The 16,255-nt window shown below is 38.2% G+C and overlaps 1 protein-coding gene across 51 annotated transcripts in view, besides 1 other annotated feature; it reads right to left on the minus strand.

Moving 5' to 3' along the window:
* ANKS1B (ankyrin repeat and sterile alpha motif domain containing 1B) overlaps positions 1-16,255 on the minus strand; it is a 1,250,151-nt gene that overhangs the window by 373,584 nt on the left and 860,312 nt on the right. The window lies entirely within an intron of this gene.
* Positions 520-1,120: an enhancer, noted in NCBI's record as "OCT4-NANOG hESC enhancer chr12:99502667-99503267 (GRCh37/hg19 assembly coordinates)". NCBI's record gives its function as "activates a minimal SCP1, AML or CMV promoter by ChIP-STARR-seq in naive H9 embryonic stem cells {active_cell/tissue: H9 hESC(naive)}" and the evidence as "EXISTENCE:reporter gene assay evidence [ECO:0000049][PMID:30033119]".

Below are 16,255 nucleotides of genomic sequence, written 5' to 3' on the forward strand. Positions count from 1 at the left end.
AGCACAGTAACTAACACATAGTAGTCAATTAATATTTGAAGAACGTATAAATGAATGAATGAAAGCATGAATGGATCTGGAAAAGTTGCCATCAGGAATTGGGGCCCTGAAGAAAGAATGGGGTTCATAAATAACATTCAGCAATCATAGTCACTGAATTGGGTACTAATATTAGTGAAAATAATAGAGACAGTAAAACCAATTATAAATAGATAAAGAAGGTAGTGCTTGTTCTGTTTTGTTTCATAAAAGATTGACAATTTTATTTATGAACACAGGATTTGAGCTAAAAAGAGAACAGATAAGAAGGTAGGTGACTAAAGAAATGGTTGCCGAGAAAAAGTATGAAACAGAGTTTAGAACAGAGAAGAGGATACAGAGATAATTGTAAAGGTGTTTGACAGAAAAAGGGAAAAGGAGAAAAGAAAAAGCTTTCAGTAGGACACTTTATGGGCATAATAGGGTTCTTCTTTAGGGCATTTCGGAAGTTGAGAGAGCAAAGATGAGAACTCGAGAGACATGGAATGGACAAAAGAGAAAGGGAGGTGAGATACATGGTACTGATCACTCACAGGGAATGAGGAAGGGAAGTAAATGGCCTCAAAGAAGTCATAGCTGTCATCGAGCAGCAAATGCCTTCTGTCATGCAGGTGGAATTAAAGCTTAAATGTGAACTGATGGTCCATCTTCAGCTTCTTTCTCTTCTCGCTCTGATACCTGCCCTCAAGGTTGCTCCCTGGCTGGTCAGGGAACTCACACTGAGCTGTAGAATGTTCCCAGGCTCTGGACCTTTCTGTACTGTTATTCAACCATCAGCACTTGCTAGCTTCTGTCCTATTCTCTCAGGATGCCTGTTTTTATTAAATGACAAAGGAAGTTAATTGGTTCATCAAGTAGAGCAATTCCTATTGTGGGCTTAGCTGGCTACTAGTTACCTTGCCTATTACATATAACAGCAGTGAAATAAACATAAAGGAATGAATGGGTGGGCTTTCATTACGTGCCAGGCCCTGAGCTAGATGCAGCAGAGTATGGCAGAACAGGACATGGGCTTTGGAGACAGACACACCCAAGACAGAGGTCTGGTCCATAATTTCCTAGCTATAAGCTTGAGGAAGTTATCTCCTAGGGTTCTTGGATTCTTCATCTGTAAGATATGAAGAATAATTTCTTCACCCTCAATTTCCTCCTCTATGAAATGGAGATAATGTTGCCTACTTCGCAGGGTTCAAAATACATATAAGTGATAATAATGTTATTTACTATTTATTCATTTATCCCCACTTTAAAAAGGAAAAGCTGAGGCACAGAGAAGTAAGGTGTGACTAAGGTCACCTAGCTGGGAAATTCTAGAGCTGGCATTTAAATCTAGCATTTGTCTTTATGCACTTACCCAACATACTATGTCATCTTAACCAATACACTAAAGCATCATTAGATGTTTCCATCTACAGCCTCTTACAGTGGGGAAACAGTTTGATATTCACCAATCTCATTTAACCCTCACAGCACCTCTGTGCAGTACTAACATCTTGCTTTAAGATGAGGAAAGGAAAGCTCAGAGAAGGTAACCGTGGCCAAAACTCAACATAGGCCCAGAGAAGGGAACACCAGCCAAAACTCAAAGAGCTAATTAGTGACAGAACTTGAAATTAGATGTAGGGTTTATGACCACAAATATAAATATAAGAAAGAGAGCCAACTCTGGGCCCAGAGTAGATGCCCACATCTTTACTAGTTATCTAGGTGGTATTTCTACATTGCTTTTAAAGTTCTCTGATAGCAAAGCTGAAACCTGGCTAGGTGTTGTAAGATAGATGAGAAACTGCAAGTCAAGGTGTGAGTTCAATGAGTGGATTTTAACTCCTAACTTCAGGAGTACTGGTCAATTATCCTTTACTGAGTGGTGCTATCAGCCCACGGTAAAATAAATTAGATTTTTAAGAAGGTGCAGAATTGCCACTATAAAATCAGATAAGCCTACTGCAGTTGGGAATAAATTCTATCATAGAAATACATCTTGCCTGATATCAAAGGAAGCCAAGAAACCATGCCAAGAGTTGGATGAAAACTGACATTTTCTGCTGTGGAGACAGAAGTGGTAGCACTGATTGGAGAATTATATTTTGAAGAGTTCTAAAATATTTATCATCATTCTAGGTCATTTATTCATTTACCCTTTTAATGCTCATTTCTTTTGTGCCACTAGGTCGAGCTTAAAAGCAAAGAATGAAAATTCACTGTGTTTTTATATATTAATATGAAGCAGGAAGTTTCTCTATTGCTTGGTTTGAAAAATAAAAGCGTTTCTGAGAAATATTAGAACACTAAATGTTCTTTCAGAAACATGGCTTTTGTCATTAATAAGGATGCTGGGTGTATCTAAGCGTGTTATGAATTTGTACTTTTTTTTGTTTGATAACTTCCTGTAACTTGAAGTATTTCAAGAAGGGAAAAAGCTGATAAAAACTACTAAAATTGCCATTGCTTCACTGTATTGATTGCCCCATTATGTTTCTTTCTAGACTTGACTCAGGCATCTCCTTCTCCAGGATGCCTTTTCTGCTCTCCATTCTAATTAAGATGGCCTTCCTCTGTGCTCCAGGAGCATTTACACAAACCACTATCCATCACTGCCCTTATCACACTGCATCGAAGCTATCTGCCCGCACATCTGTGCCCCCTGGAAGGCAATCAGGACAATAACCATGGCTTATATTCCACCTGGTGTCCTCAGCACCTGGCATGGAGCCAGAACTCAGCAAATTTTTACCAAAGAACAATGAATTTTAAAACCTGACTATAGAATGGCAGAATGCTCCTTCTGCCTCCACGAAATTTACTTTCAAGTTGAACAATTTTATTAAAAATTCCATTTTCTAATGGTATCAGAGACCTGCAAAGCTAAAGAAAAAGCAAGTCTTATTTCCAGGTCAGAACTTATTTCCCAGGTCCTCACTATTTGGCTTATATAATATTAAAAGGTATTTTTAAGAGTATAATTTCTATTTCTCAGGCTTGAAGGATACTTTTGTTAGTGTCCTCATAGCTTTCTATTTTGGCTTTGCATCCAGAGAAATGAAAGAGGCTTGACTCAGCTGCCGCTTAATACTGCACAAGCCTGAGAGAGAAGACTATTATATAAGCTAATGTGTATTTTAAGGTGTTTTTTTTTTTCATAGCCAATACCTAAATGCCACCTTCCAACCTCATGAAAGTGCTGAACCCCAGTGTGTGGGAAAGCGAGGTCCCCTACACGGCTCTGTATTCCTTATAAGTATAAAAAATAAAAGCAGTTGATTAAGGGTTAGCAATTTTCTTTTCTTTCTTTACACGTACTTGTAATTCATTTAATGCAGGAAGTGGGCTGAGTTTTCTTGTTCTTTCCAATTCAACTCTCAGGGAGCTTTCTTGCCAGCCTGCTATGGTTACCATGGCAACAAGGCGATGGTGGCAGTAATATGATCTCATATGCCTTGTGTCAATAGCATCAGATCATCACGCTTGAGGATAATTTTGACAATAAGCTTCAGATATAGATTCAGGATATATTACCATTTGATTGATTTACCAGAAATACTGAGCAATTACAGCCTTAAACTTCTAATAAAAGCATGTTCACAAAGGTTAGCGTTTTTCCCTAGATGACATATTATATGGCATTCTGAAATTTGTAAATTGCTTTCATATATCTGCTTCAATTCTCATTAGGCAGGACAGATATAATCATCCCCATTTTATAGAAGAGGAAGTAAAGGCCCGTGCAATGTGCTGTGTAAGGTGGCAAAAGCAACTCCACAGTGAAGCTGAAACTTCAACTTGAGGCTTCTGGCATCAGAATCACACTTTCCTCATGCCTGTGTTAAGAATTCATGGGTATTATCAAAATGTTCTTAGATGCATAGGTTAGACCCTGGAATGTCTGAATTAAAATAATGTAAATGTATCTGTGATAAATAACTACTAGTTTGAGAATATTAGTATTTTATATTTGGGTGATGCTTCATACATTTTATATCTCCCATTACACCTTCCTTTCCTAAGGCTTTTCTGATACTAGATGCACAAATAGATGCTTATCTCTTTCTCCCACTGATCAACATCTTGTCTTTTTTGTTGTTGTTGTTATTAGTGACATTTATTTTTCCATTGTGAGTTCCTTGAAAGTAGGGATCATGTTATTCATTCTTGGAAGGTCCCTGATCCTGGCACAGTATGTATGGATCTGTTATGTATCAGGTACTGTACATAATATGTACCAGGTACATAACAGATACACCATAAATGCTTGTTGCTTGTTAAACTGAACTCATCTGACACCCACAAACCCCATGAGGTAAGTACAGCTGGCATTATGATCCACTATTTTAATAAAGTGGAAATAGAGGTCATGGATATATCATGGGCAATTTAATTCTTTCCACTCCCAGCCATGTGCTCTTTCCATGTCGTCCTGTTTGCTTTATTCTTTCATTGTTTCTCTTTCATTCATTAATTCATCAAACATTTATTAGTTGCTCTTTCTATATCAAGCATTGCTACAGATAATGGGTTACAAAGATAAATAAGACACAATCCTCAGCACCAAAGGGCTCACAGATAATGCAGATAATTTTCTGCCTAGGCAAGTAGTAAAATAAAACCTTATATGGAACTTCGAGTATGCATTATATTATTTCCCAACTTTATTGGCTCTTTAAAATGTATCTTGAGAATATGTTTCAAGTCCCTCTTTAATGCAGTGTTTTAGAACTGGATAAGCCTTGAGCCATTGCCAATATAGGGTGATACTAATTCTGCATCTTCGTTTTTTTTCTTGGGCATAAAATCAGCATTTCCAACATCCCACAGAATCCCTAAACTTAACGTGTCCTCAATGAAACTCAGTATCTGACCTGAACGAATGGGAAGTGGCAGAAAGAGGCAGATGGTCAGGGTGAGATGCCAGACTCTGCCGTTTGATATGACTTAGGGTCAGTTACACCATCTAGGGGTTTCTTCATTAGTATCTGGCACGAAACACAGTGTTCAAAATACTTCTTAAATGTATTAATTAATGAATGAGTTGTCAAAGAGGATGAAAAATGATGACATAAAATAGGGATACCTGAAGCAGTGTTAGCATTAGCAGGTACTCAATAAACATCTTTTAAAGAGTGGACTAAATATATACGATTCAATTCCCCTTCCTGAAACATATTAAATTGCCAAGACAAAACTTCTAAGTTATCTTTATGTCTCTTTCCACATCATAGAGTCAGGTTTATTTCACCTCTGCAATGTCTTGGACTTGTGCCTTTCTCTTCATCCAATAGCATGATTTGATCCAACCCCCACCCTTTCACTAGTAGACTCTCAGAGAAGGCCCTTGACTGAACTTCCTCTCTTTCCAGGGTCTCCCATTCCACCTTACTGGTGAAACTCTTATTTTTAAAGGATAACTAGGAGTGTATAACTCTTCTGGCCAGAGATTTTGTATTGATTTGTATATTCTAATTAAGAAACTTTTTAGAATGGTAATCAAGATCCTCTAAAAGGTGATCTTTAGTTATACCTATAGTCATTCCTTTCCATATACTCTAGGTTTTAGCTTCCCCTACACACACTTTTGGACTTTTAAGCTTTCTTCCTGTATTCCTAGTTAGTGGAGTAATAACAGCTTTGTAATACTTTTGCACAACACTTTGCAATTTGTAAGGAACTCATATATGTTTATAATGAAACTTTGTGATAACCTCAGAGTAGGTGGATATGATCATTTTCATTTCACCAATTAGGAAATTGAAAATCAGAGAGTTAAATCATACAGATTCTCATAACCTTTATGAGAATTCTATTGGAAAATATTTGTGTCTATGATGATTGTTTAACCATGGAATACTTGAATCAAACTCTTTAAATTAACAACTGTGACTTCAAAATGCTAACGATTGACATTTGTTCAGCTCGTTAGCCCAGAGGCTAATCATGATGCTTTTCTTCTGCATAGCAAAAGAAACTATCAACAGAGTAAATAGACAACTACAGAATGGAAGAAAATATTTGCAAACTATGCATCTGACAGAAGTCTAATATACAGCATCTATAAAGAATTTAAACAGGGTGGGCATGGTGGCTCATGCCTGTAATCTGAGCACTTTGGGAGGCGGAGGCTGGTGCATCACTTGAGGTCAGAAGTTTGAGACCAGCTTGGCCAACATATTGAAGCCCCATCTCTACTAAAAATACAAAAATTAGCTGGGCGTGGTGGCATGGGCCTGCAATCCCAGCTACTCAGGAGGCTGAGGCAGAAGAATTGCTTGAACCTGGGAGATGGAGGTTGCAGTGAGCCGAGACCGTACCACTGTACTCCAGCCTTGGTGACAGAGCGAGACTCTGTCTCAAAAAAAAAAAGAACTTAAATTCACAAGAAATAAACAAATAACTCCATTAAAAAGTGGCAAAGGATATAAACCGATACTTTTCTAAAGAAGACATACATGGAGCCAAGAATCATATGAAAAAAAGCTCATTATCACTGATCATTAGAGAAAATGCAAATCAAAACCACAATAAGATACCATCTCACACCAATCAAAATGGCTATTATTAAAAAGTAAAAAAATAACAGACGCTGGTGAGGTTGCAGAGAAAAGGCAGCACTTACACACGATGGGATCATAAATTTGTTCAACCATTGTGGAAAGCAGTACGGTAATTCCTTAAAGAGCTAAAAGCAGAACTACCATTTGACTCAGCAATCCTGTTACTGGGTATATACCCAGAGGAATATAAATCATCCTCCCATAAAGACACATGCATGCGATGTTTACTGCAGCAGTATTCACAATAGCAAAAACAGAATCAACTTAAATGCCCATCAATGACAGATGGAATGAAGAAAATGTGGTAAATTTACACCATGGAATACCATGCAGCCACAAAAAAGAACAAGATCATGTCTTTTGTGGGAACATGATGGAGCTGGAGGCCATTATCCTTAGCAAACTAATGCAGGAACAGAAAACCAAATACCACATGTTCTCATTTGTAAGTGGGAGCTAAATTATGAGAACTCATGAACACAAAGAAGAGAATAACAGATACTTGGGCCTCCTTGAGGGTGATGGTTGGGAGAAGGGAGAAGAGCAGAAAAAATAACTATTGGGTACTAGGCTTAGTACCTGGGTGACAAAATAATCTGTACAACAAACCCTCGTGACACTAGTTTACCTATGTAACAAACCTGCATATGTACCCCACAACCTAAAATAAAAGTTAAAAAAAAAATGATGTTCTTGGCTGGGTGCAGTGGCTCACACCTGTAATCCCAGCACTTTGGGAGGCTGAGGTGGGTGGATCACTTGAGGTGAGGAGTTTGAGACCAGCCTGACTAACATGGTGAAACTCTGTCTCTACTTAAAAAATACAAAATTAGCCAGCTGTGGTGGCGCATGCCTGTAATCCCAGCTACTTGGGAGGCTGAGGCAGGAGAATCACTTGAACCCAGGAGGCAGAGGTTGCAGTGAGCCGAGATTGCACCATTGCACTCCAGCCTAGGCAACAAGAGCGAGACTCCGTCTCAAAAAAAAAAAAAAAAAAAAAAGATGCTCTTAAGCTGGATTGCCTGTGTGGAATCCTGGCTCTACTATTTCCTAGCTGTGTGGTCTTGGATAGATTACTTAATCTCTCTGTCCTTCAATTTCCTCATCATTAAACTGGGGATACCAATAGTTTCTATTGTGTAGGATTGCTGCAAGGATTAGTGAATTTTATGTGCGTAAAGTGCTAGGATAATATCTGACACATAGCAAGCACTCCTAAATGTTGCTACCCTTAAAGACACAACCTAAGAACTTCTTTGGCTAGTCCCTGGTCTGAGAAGGAAAATCAATTCCTTCCTCATTGGTGCTACCTTGTTTGGGTCTTCTATACTGGGGACACTATAGCTGCCTCAGGGTGTTGGCTCAGGATAGATTCAGAATATCTGAATCTACTTATTGGGAGCAGTCACTGAGTTTCTCTAAGCCTCATTCACCATCTGAAAACACCTGGATAATAACAGCATTTTACATCATAGGATTGTGGTGATCATTTTATTAACTAGTACATATAAGGCATCTAGTGCTTGGCATGGAGTAACTAATCAGTAAAATTTAGTGACTATTACTGTTACATAAATGTTTTGCCCATGATATTTTGACCTTCTTGGGTTAGGACCTGTCTTTTTCGTTATCTTTATGCCTATCTTTGTTGCTTCTTCACAGTAGATTTAAAAAAAATAAACATTTAAATAAAAAAGATTTTGCTTATGAGTGTCTTGGCTATATGGGCTCTTTTTTTTGTTCCATATGAAATTTAAAGTAGTTTTTTTCTAATTCTGTGAAGAAAGTCAATAGTAGCTTAATGGGGATAGCATTGAATCCATAAATTACTTTGAGCCATATAGTCATTTTCACTATATTGATTCTTCCTCTCCATGAACATGGAATGCTTTTCCATTTGTTTGTGTCCTCTCTGATTTCCTTGAGCAGTGGTTTGTAGTTCTCCTTGAAGAGGTCCTTCACATCCCTTGTAACTTATATTCCTAGATATTTTATTCTGTTTGTAGCAATTGTGAATGGGAGTTCACTCATGATTTGGCTCTCTGTTTGTCTATTATTGGTGTATAGGAATGCTTGTGATATTTGCACATTGATTTTGTATCCTGAGACTTTGCTGAAGTTGCTTATCAGTGTAAAGAGATTTTGGGCTGAGATGATGGGGTTTTCTAAATATATAATCATGTCATCTGCAAACAGACAGTTTGACTTCCTCTCTTCCTATCTGAATACGCTTTATTTCTTTGTCTTGCCTGATTGCCCTGGCCAGAACTTCCAACACTATGTTGAATAGGAGTGGTGAGAGAGGGCATCCTTGTCTTGTGCCCATTTTCTAAGGGAATGCTTCCAGTTTTTGCCCATTCAGTATGATATGGGCTGTGGGTTTGTCATAAATAGCTCTTATTATTTTGAGATAAGTTCCATCAATACCTAGCTTATTGAGTTTTTAGCATGAAGGGCTGTTGAATTTTGTTGAAGGCCTTTTCTGTACCTACTGAGATAATCATATGGTTTTTGTCATTGGTTCTGTTTATGTGATGGATTATGTTTATTGATTTGTGTATGTTGAACCAACCTTGCATCCTAGGGAGGAAGCTGATTTGATTGTGGTGGATAAGCTTTTTGATGTGCTGCTGGATTCAGTTTGCCTGTATTTTATTGAGGATTTTAGCCTCGATATTCATCAGGAATATTGGCCTGAAATTTTATTTTCTTGTTGGGTCTCTGCCAGATTTTGGTATCAGGATGAGGCTGGCCTCATAAAATGAGTTAGGGAGGAGTCCCTCTTTTTCTATTGTTTGAAATAGTTTCAGAAGGAATGGTACCAGCTTCTCTTTGCACATCTGGTAGAATTCGGCTGTGAATCTGTCTGGTCCTGGGCTTGTGTTGGTTGCTAGGCTATTAATTACTGCCTCAATTTCAGAAATTGTTATTGGTCTATTCAGGGATTCAACTTCTTCCTGGTTTAGTCTTGGGAGGGTTTATGTGTCCAGGGATTTATCCATTTCTTCTAGATTTTCTAGTTTATATGCATAGAGGTATTTATAGCATTTTCTGATGGTAGCTTGTATTTCTGTGGGATCAGTGGTGATATCCCCTTTATCATTTATTTAAATACAAAAGATTTTTCAATAAAAATGATTAAAGTAGCAGGATAGAACAATCTTTGCAGAGAAAATCCCAAACTCTAAGTGGATGGATGCTGAGACTGTATGCAAAAACGCTAAATTCTAGAAAGAGTTAAATTTGAAAATATCTATTCTTATTACAAAATATTGATCTAGTGGTTGTTGGGAAAATATAAATGTACCATATAATAAATTGGGTTTGGATTATTAAAATTCTATTACCTTGTCCACAATGGAAGCAAGAATATAAATGACTTTATAAAACTAAAAAGTTTTAAATTTTCTTCTGTACATTGGCATATCTCACAAAGGAATGGAATTGGTTACACTGCATATGAGAACATTTTGATGCAGTATAATCTTTTATTGTGCAGCTTTATATAGCACCCTTTCCTGAAAGAGTGACTGTACAGCGCCTGGTGTTCTAAATCCAGTCGCTAACTCAAACCTTTTCACTTTCATAAAGAGGTTTTGGGAATGAAGTTAATATTCCATTTACCAAACTAAAATATAATATTATGTGCTGCAATGCTGTGAGCCCACCCACCCACCAGACTGCAGATAATCTTCTATTCATATGCTCAAATCAAGTACTATGCATATTTCTAGCTCACTATCAAAAGTAACTGCACATATACACAAAGAAAGGATAGAAGAAAATGAATGAGCAGTCAAAAATGACTGCAGGCGACTTTAACAATACAAGATCAGCCATTTTTGACAAATATTTGATTTGAAATTCACTGATCTTCTATTAGGACTCAAGGGCTGGCAGGAGTAACGAATTTCCTGAGCTTCTCTTATGTATGTTCAGAAGTATTGGATCAGTTTTTGGTCTCGGGGTAACAACAATAGCAGCAAAACAGTAACAGCAACCAACATGCACTGAGTTTACTTCACACCAGCACTCAGGCAGAACTTCTGCTTCAGCAGGGTGAATAAGAGCCCCCAAAGGTATCAGATCCTAATCCCTGGAACCTGTAAATTATGCCTTATTAGGAGACAGGAACTTGCAGTTGTGATTAACTTAAGGATCCTGAGATGGGGAGATTACCATGGATTATCTGGATGGGCCCTAAATACAAACACATGTATCTTATAAAATAGATGGAAAGGGAGCTTTGACAGACAAAAGAGGAGGAGGCATTGTGACCACAGAGGCAGAAATTGGAGTGATGTGGGCACAAATCAGGGTATGCTGACAGCCGCCAGATGCTAGAAGAGGTAAGGAACATATTACCCTCTAGAGCTTCTGGAGGGAATGAGCCCCTGCTGACACCTTGATTTTGCCCAAGTGATACTTATTTTGAATTCCTGTTCTCCAAAACTTGGAGAGAAGATAAATGTTTTTTTTAGCCAGCAAGTTCATGGTAATTTGTTACAGCAGCCATGGGAAACTAAATTAAGCATCCAACCATTGAACTAATATACTAATATATTGCTGAACTTTGGTTCATTCCTTCATAAGCCTCCCAAATTCTTGATTTCTTTGTTCTGTGGGGGCTGCTGCTGGTAAGAGTAGAGCTATTAAAGCATCCTTCCATGTGAAGCATCACCTGCTGACATTTTTGCAGAATCCCTTCCATTGTCAGCCCTACCTACTTACAAGTTGAAATTGACACACAGGTGCAGTGAGTCAAGGTCTGACTTGAATGCTTTGCTTTTCTCTCAGTAGATTTTCTTAAATTCAGCAAGTCCTCACTTAATGTCATGGATAAGATCTTGGAGATTGCAACTGTAATTGAAACTATGTATAAAGAAACCAATTTGACCACAGTCAAATCAATATAAACAAGAGTTCAGTTCCTATGGTATATTTCTGGTCAAAGAAAGTAATCACCAAACTTCTAAATAAAGAAGCAAATACTTCTAATATTAAACATCAAAATAAATGGGAGCTATACATACATTTAAGAAATATTAATGAAAAGGAAGATGATGATTTACCCAATTATTCCAGTTCAAGGTCGCCTGTCCCGGCAACTCAGGGCACCAGGTGGGAACGCACCCTGGACGGGACACCCTCCCATCGCAGGGCATACTCACACCCACATTCGCACTCACTCAGACTGGGACCATGTAGACTTGCCAATTCACCTAGCATTAAGCACATCCTTGGGCCGTGGAAGGAAACCGGAGTGCCTGGAGAAAACCCATGCAGTCATGGGGAGAACAAGCAAACTCCACGCAGACAGTGACCCGGGCTGGGAGTCAATTTTTTTTCTTATCAACATCATAAGGAAACAGCATTACAGGAAATGGTGTAACTTGAGGACTTGCTCTATAGAACTACACATGCCATTATTTCAGTATGTTTCTTTTCTTGTTTGATCTCATTCATTTGCACACTTGAATCCACCAATAATTAAAAACATCTGTGAATATAATCAATACATAAGTAATGAATTTATTGTTTCTTTGGGCCAGAAAACTGTTAAGAACTTGTTATATGCAAGGCATTGGTTTAGAAACCAGATATTCAATGATAAATTCTTGACCTCACTTAAATTCTTATTGAGATGAAAAGAAATATTATCAAGTCACAAACAGTACAAAGCTGGGTGTGAAAATGCCATAAGGAGAAGATGGAGACAACGCTGACATTCAGATTTCTGGCTTAAATGACTGAAAAAATAGTGATGCCATTTACTGACATGGGAACTGCAGGAGAAGCAGCAGATTTGGGAAGAGCAGTGGATTTGAGGTCCCTGGGGGGCATCCACGTGGAAAAACAGGCCTGATGTTAAGGAGAGAGAACTTAGAGGTTTTGAAATTATCTGGGCATTGGTGATAATTAAAATCCTAGGAATGGAACTCATTGCTCCTGGACATTGCATAATGGGAGAAGAAAAGAGAGGCTTAGAAAAAGTACAGGGCTAGTAAAGCGTATCGCATATTAAGAGAATGATGACTAACCTAATTTGAGATTTAAAGGGATCTGATAGGAGATAAATTAAAAATCAGTTGGGTCTATCCAAAGAGGATAACCCTATATGCCAGCCTCCAAAATTTAGACTTTTTTTTTTTTTGGTCATATGTATTGAGTCATAGTTAGAGGTTTTAATTTGGGGACTAGTAGGATTATAGCTATGCTTATAAGGTAAATCCAGGGTAGTGTGTAGGATGGACATTAGAGAGAAAAGACAGAGGCTGAAGAGTTGAGTTGGAATGTTAATGTGATGATCTAGAATTAGAGGTAATGAAGGCCTGAAGAACTGTTTTAACAGTGTGTGTATGTAGGTATGTGTGTGTGTGTGTGTGTGTGTGTGTGTGTGTGTGTATTTTCCCCCCAAATATACTAAATAAAATTGGTATCAACATTTCTTATCAACACTATAGGGAAACAGCATTAAAGGAAATTATGTTACTTAAGGTACTTGAGGTTTGATGTTCACTCAAACACTTTTGAGTATTTATTTCTGCATTAAAGGTCTTGCATTTCATACATACAGGTGAAAAAAGAGGAAGGCAAGATGTCAAGAGAAAAAAATGTGGCATATGGCCTGACCCAGTTTATTTGTTGAGAACTTTGTGGAAGCAGGATCAGTAGGATGCGCTGCGATGTATCCTGGCAGTGGAGAGGAAAGTTAATAATAACCATAGCCACGGGATGAACAGTGGCTGCTCACTGAGTGTTGCTAAGGGCCATCAAGAGGTGAATGAAAAGAATTATCCTTTTGTTCCCTTCATGGAGATGCTGGCAAATGAACTGAATTTAACTCAATGAACCACAAAGCCTAAGGGTAACTGTTTTCCTTTGTGGTTTGCTTATTGAAAGTCACTGCTGAGCTGATACGGGTGTTGGGGACAATGTCTTTGACCTTGGAGTTCTTAAAACCATCCTCAGACTCAATGAACAGTTGGTAAGGTTTTAGGAATGTCCTAGCAAAAGCACTCTGGATTCTGCAGGCAAGTGGGATAATTCCTGAAGTATTATTTTAAAAATTGTGTGAAACAGTGGAAATACACTATTTGGAGTCAGATAGATGAGGGTTTGAGTGCCATTTCTATCACTTGGTGATCCTGAGAAAATCAGTCTCCTTAAGCCTTAGGCAAAATGGGGATAATGATCGATTTTGTGAAAATGTTAATAAAATAATATATGGAAAAATAATATATTTGAATTTATAGATGAGACTTAATAGATAAATGTGACTGCCCTCCCATACTTAAGGTCACTAAAAATATTAATTAAGAGTATGTTGAATAGAAGAATTTGGAAAAGAAAATCAAGCTAGAGAGAATGGGAGAAATTTCCTTAAGAAACAAAACATAAAATTTTATTAGGACTATTTGATTTGCTTAACTGAAACTCTATCAAAAGCCATTTTCTGGTTTTTACATGAATCTTCAAATATTTCTAATCAGCAGTTTTTCTCTTAACTGCCACTCAGCTTTTGGTTGGATGATGCAGAGATGTAGGTGTTTCGAGTAACTAATACAATTCCCTTCTAGGGTATGTTGCAGGGTGCCTTAACTTACTGTGTATGCAAGGTAAATAACTCCTAATATGAGACAACAAACAAAATACATGTCTAATCAATTCAGAAAAATGTTTAGGAAGCTCCATAAACATGTTTTCATAAACGCTTGCTGGCAGCCAACTTGCCTGGCTTTCAGAGTTGCTATAACAACCAGCAGTCCTCTCAGCAGCCTTGGCACTCTGCATTCTTACATCTTTTAATAAGAAATATCATTATCTTGTCTGGGCTCATTAGCTCAATTATTTAAAGCATGGTACTAGTAAAGCCAAGGTAGAGGGTTCAAAAGTATGCATTAGCAAGAAAATTCTATCCATGTGTCCTTTGCCAAGGCGACTTGTTCATTCATTCATTCATTTAAAAATATTTATTGAATGTCTGCCATGTGCCAGGTTCTGTTCTAGGAGCTAGAAATAAATCAGTAAAATTAAAAAAAAAATATATATATATATATAAACATGTATATAAACCAACAAAACAACAACAACAAAAAACCAACAAAAAAACCCCAAAAAAACAAAAATAATTAAGATGCCAGTTTTAGTGATGTCTATAGTCTGGTTTGAGGGGCAAGAAGGGAGACAGATGCTGACTAAGCAACAAATTAATATACATGTAGAAATACATGTAGAGTGAGAACAATGAAGACAAAGCAGGGAAAGGAGACAGGTGCTGTGTTAGGGTGAGGAGAAAGTGCCTCTTGATATGGTGACATTAGAGCAGAGATTTCGATGAATTGAATAAGAAAAGCTGTAGCTAAGTCATGGAAGAACGTTTTAAACAGAAGGTTAGCAGGGCACAAGCTCTGAGGTGAGAGTGTGCTTGGCCGGATCAGGACCAGCCAGGAGACCTGTATGACTGGGGTATTAGTCAGGGTTCTCTAAAGGGACAGAACTAAGTGGATAGATGAATATATGAAGGGGAGTTTATTAAGGAGTATTGACTCACAAGATCATAAGGTGAAGTCCCACAATAGGCCACCTGCAAGCTGAGGAGCCAGGAAACCAGTCCAAGTCCCCAAACCTCAAAAGTAGGAAGGTAGATAGTGCAGCTTTCAGTCTGTGGCCTAAGGCCCGAGAGCCCCTGGCAAATCACTGGTATAAGTGCAAGAGTCCAAAAGCCGACGAATCTGGAGTCTGATGTATGAGGGCAGGAAGCATAGTACAGGAGAAAGATGGAGGCCAGAAGACTCAGCCAGTCTAGTCCTTTCACGTTCCCCTGCCTGCTTTTATCCCAGCCACACTGGAAGTTGATTAGATGGTGCCCACCCAGATTGAGGGTGGGTCTGCCTCTCCCAACCCACTGACTTTGGCAACACCCTCACAAACACACCCAGGAACAATACATTGCATCCTTCAACCCAATGAAGTTGACACTCAATTGTAACCATCACAATTGGAGTGGAGTGCTCAAGGGAAGAACAGAAGGTGATGAAATCAGACAGGAAGAGATGATCTGTCCATGCAGGGTCTTGGAAACCACTGTAAGGGATTTTAGATTTTATTCTGAGTGAGACAGGAAACGAATGCAGAGTTCTGAGTAAAGGGGTAATATAATCTGACATCTACTTTAGGAAAAATTGCTTTGGATCCAGAGACTCTACGTAGGGGCTCAAGAAGGAAAGGGGATCTGTTAGGAGGTTATTGCAATTAAACAGAGGAGAGGTGATGACAGCTTAGAGCAGGTGCCAAGGATTTAAGAAATAATCAGACTCTGGATGTTTTTAGAGGTAGTGCCAGTGGGATTTGCTGATGAAATAAATGTGAAGTTTTTCTCTTGAGCACTAGAAAAATGAAGACAGCATTTCCGCCCTGGGGAAGACTGAAAAATAAAAGCATGCACAAACTTATTTGTGTGCATGTGTGTGTGTGTGTGTATGTGTGTAAGGCAGAATGGAGTTGTGGATGCCTTAATGTTGAGATTTCTGTGAGACATCTAAGTGGATACTTTCATCTAGGCAACTAAATGTAAATAATAAAATCTCTTTATAGATTTCAGAGTTCAGGAGAGATGTCTGGGCTAAAGATACAACTGTAAGAGTCATCAGTTTATAGATGTAATGTAA

The sequence above is a fragment of the Homo sapiens genome, chromosome 12 (assembly GCF_000001405.40).
Source record: "Homo sapiens chromosome 12, GRCh38.p14 Primary Assembly".
NCBI lineage: Eukaryota > Metazoa > Chordata > Mammalia > Primates > Hominidae > Homo > Homo sapiens.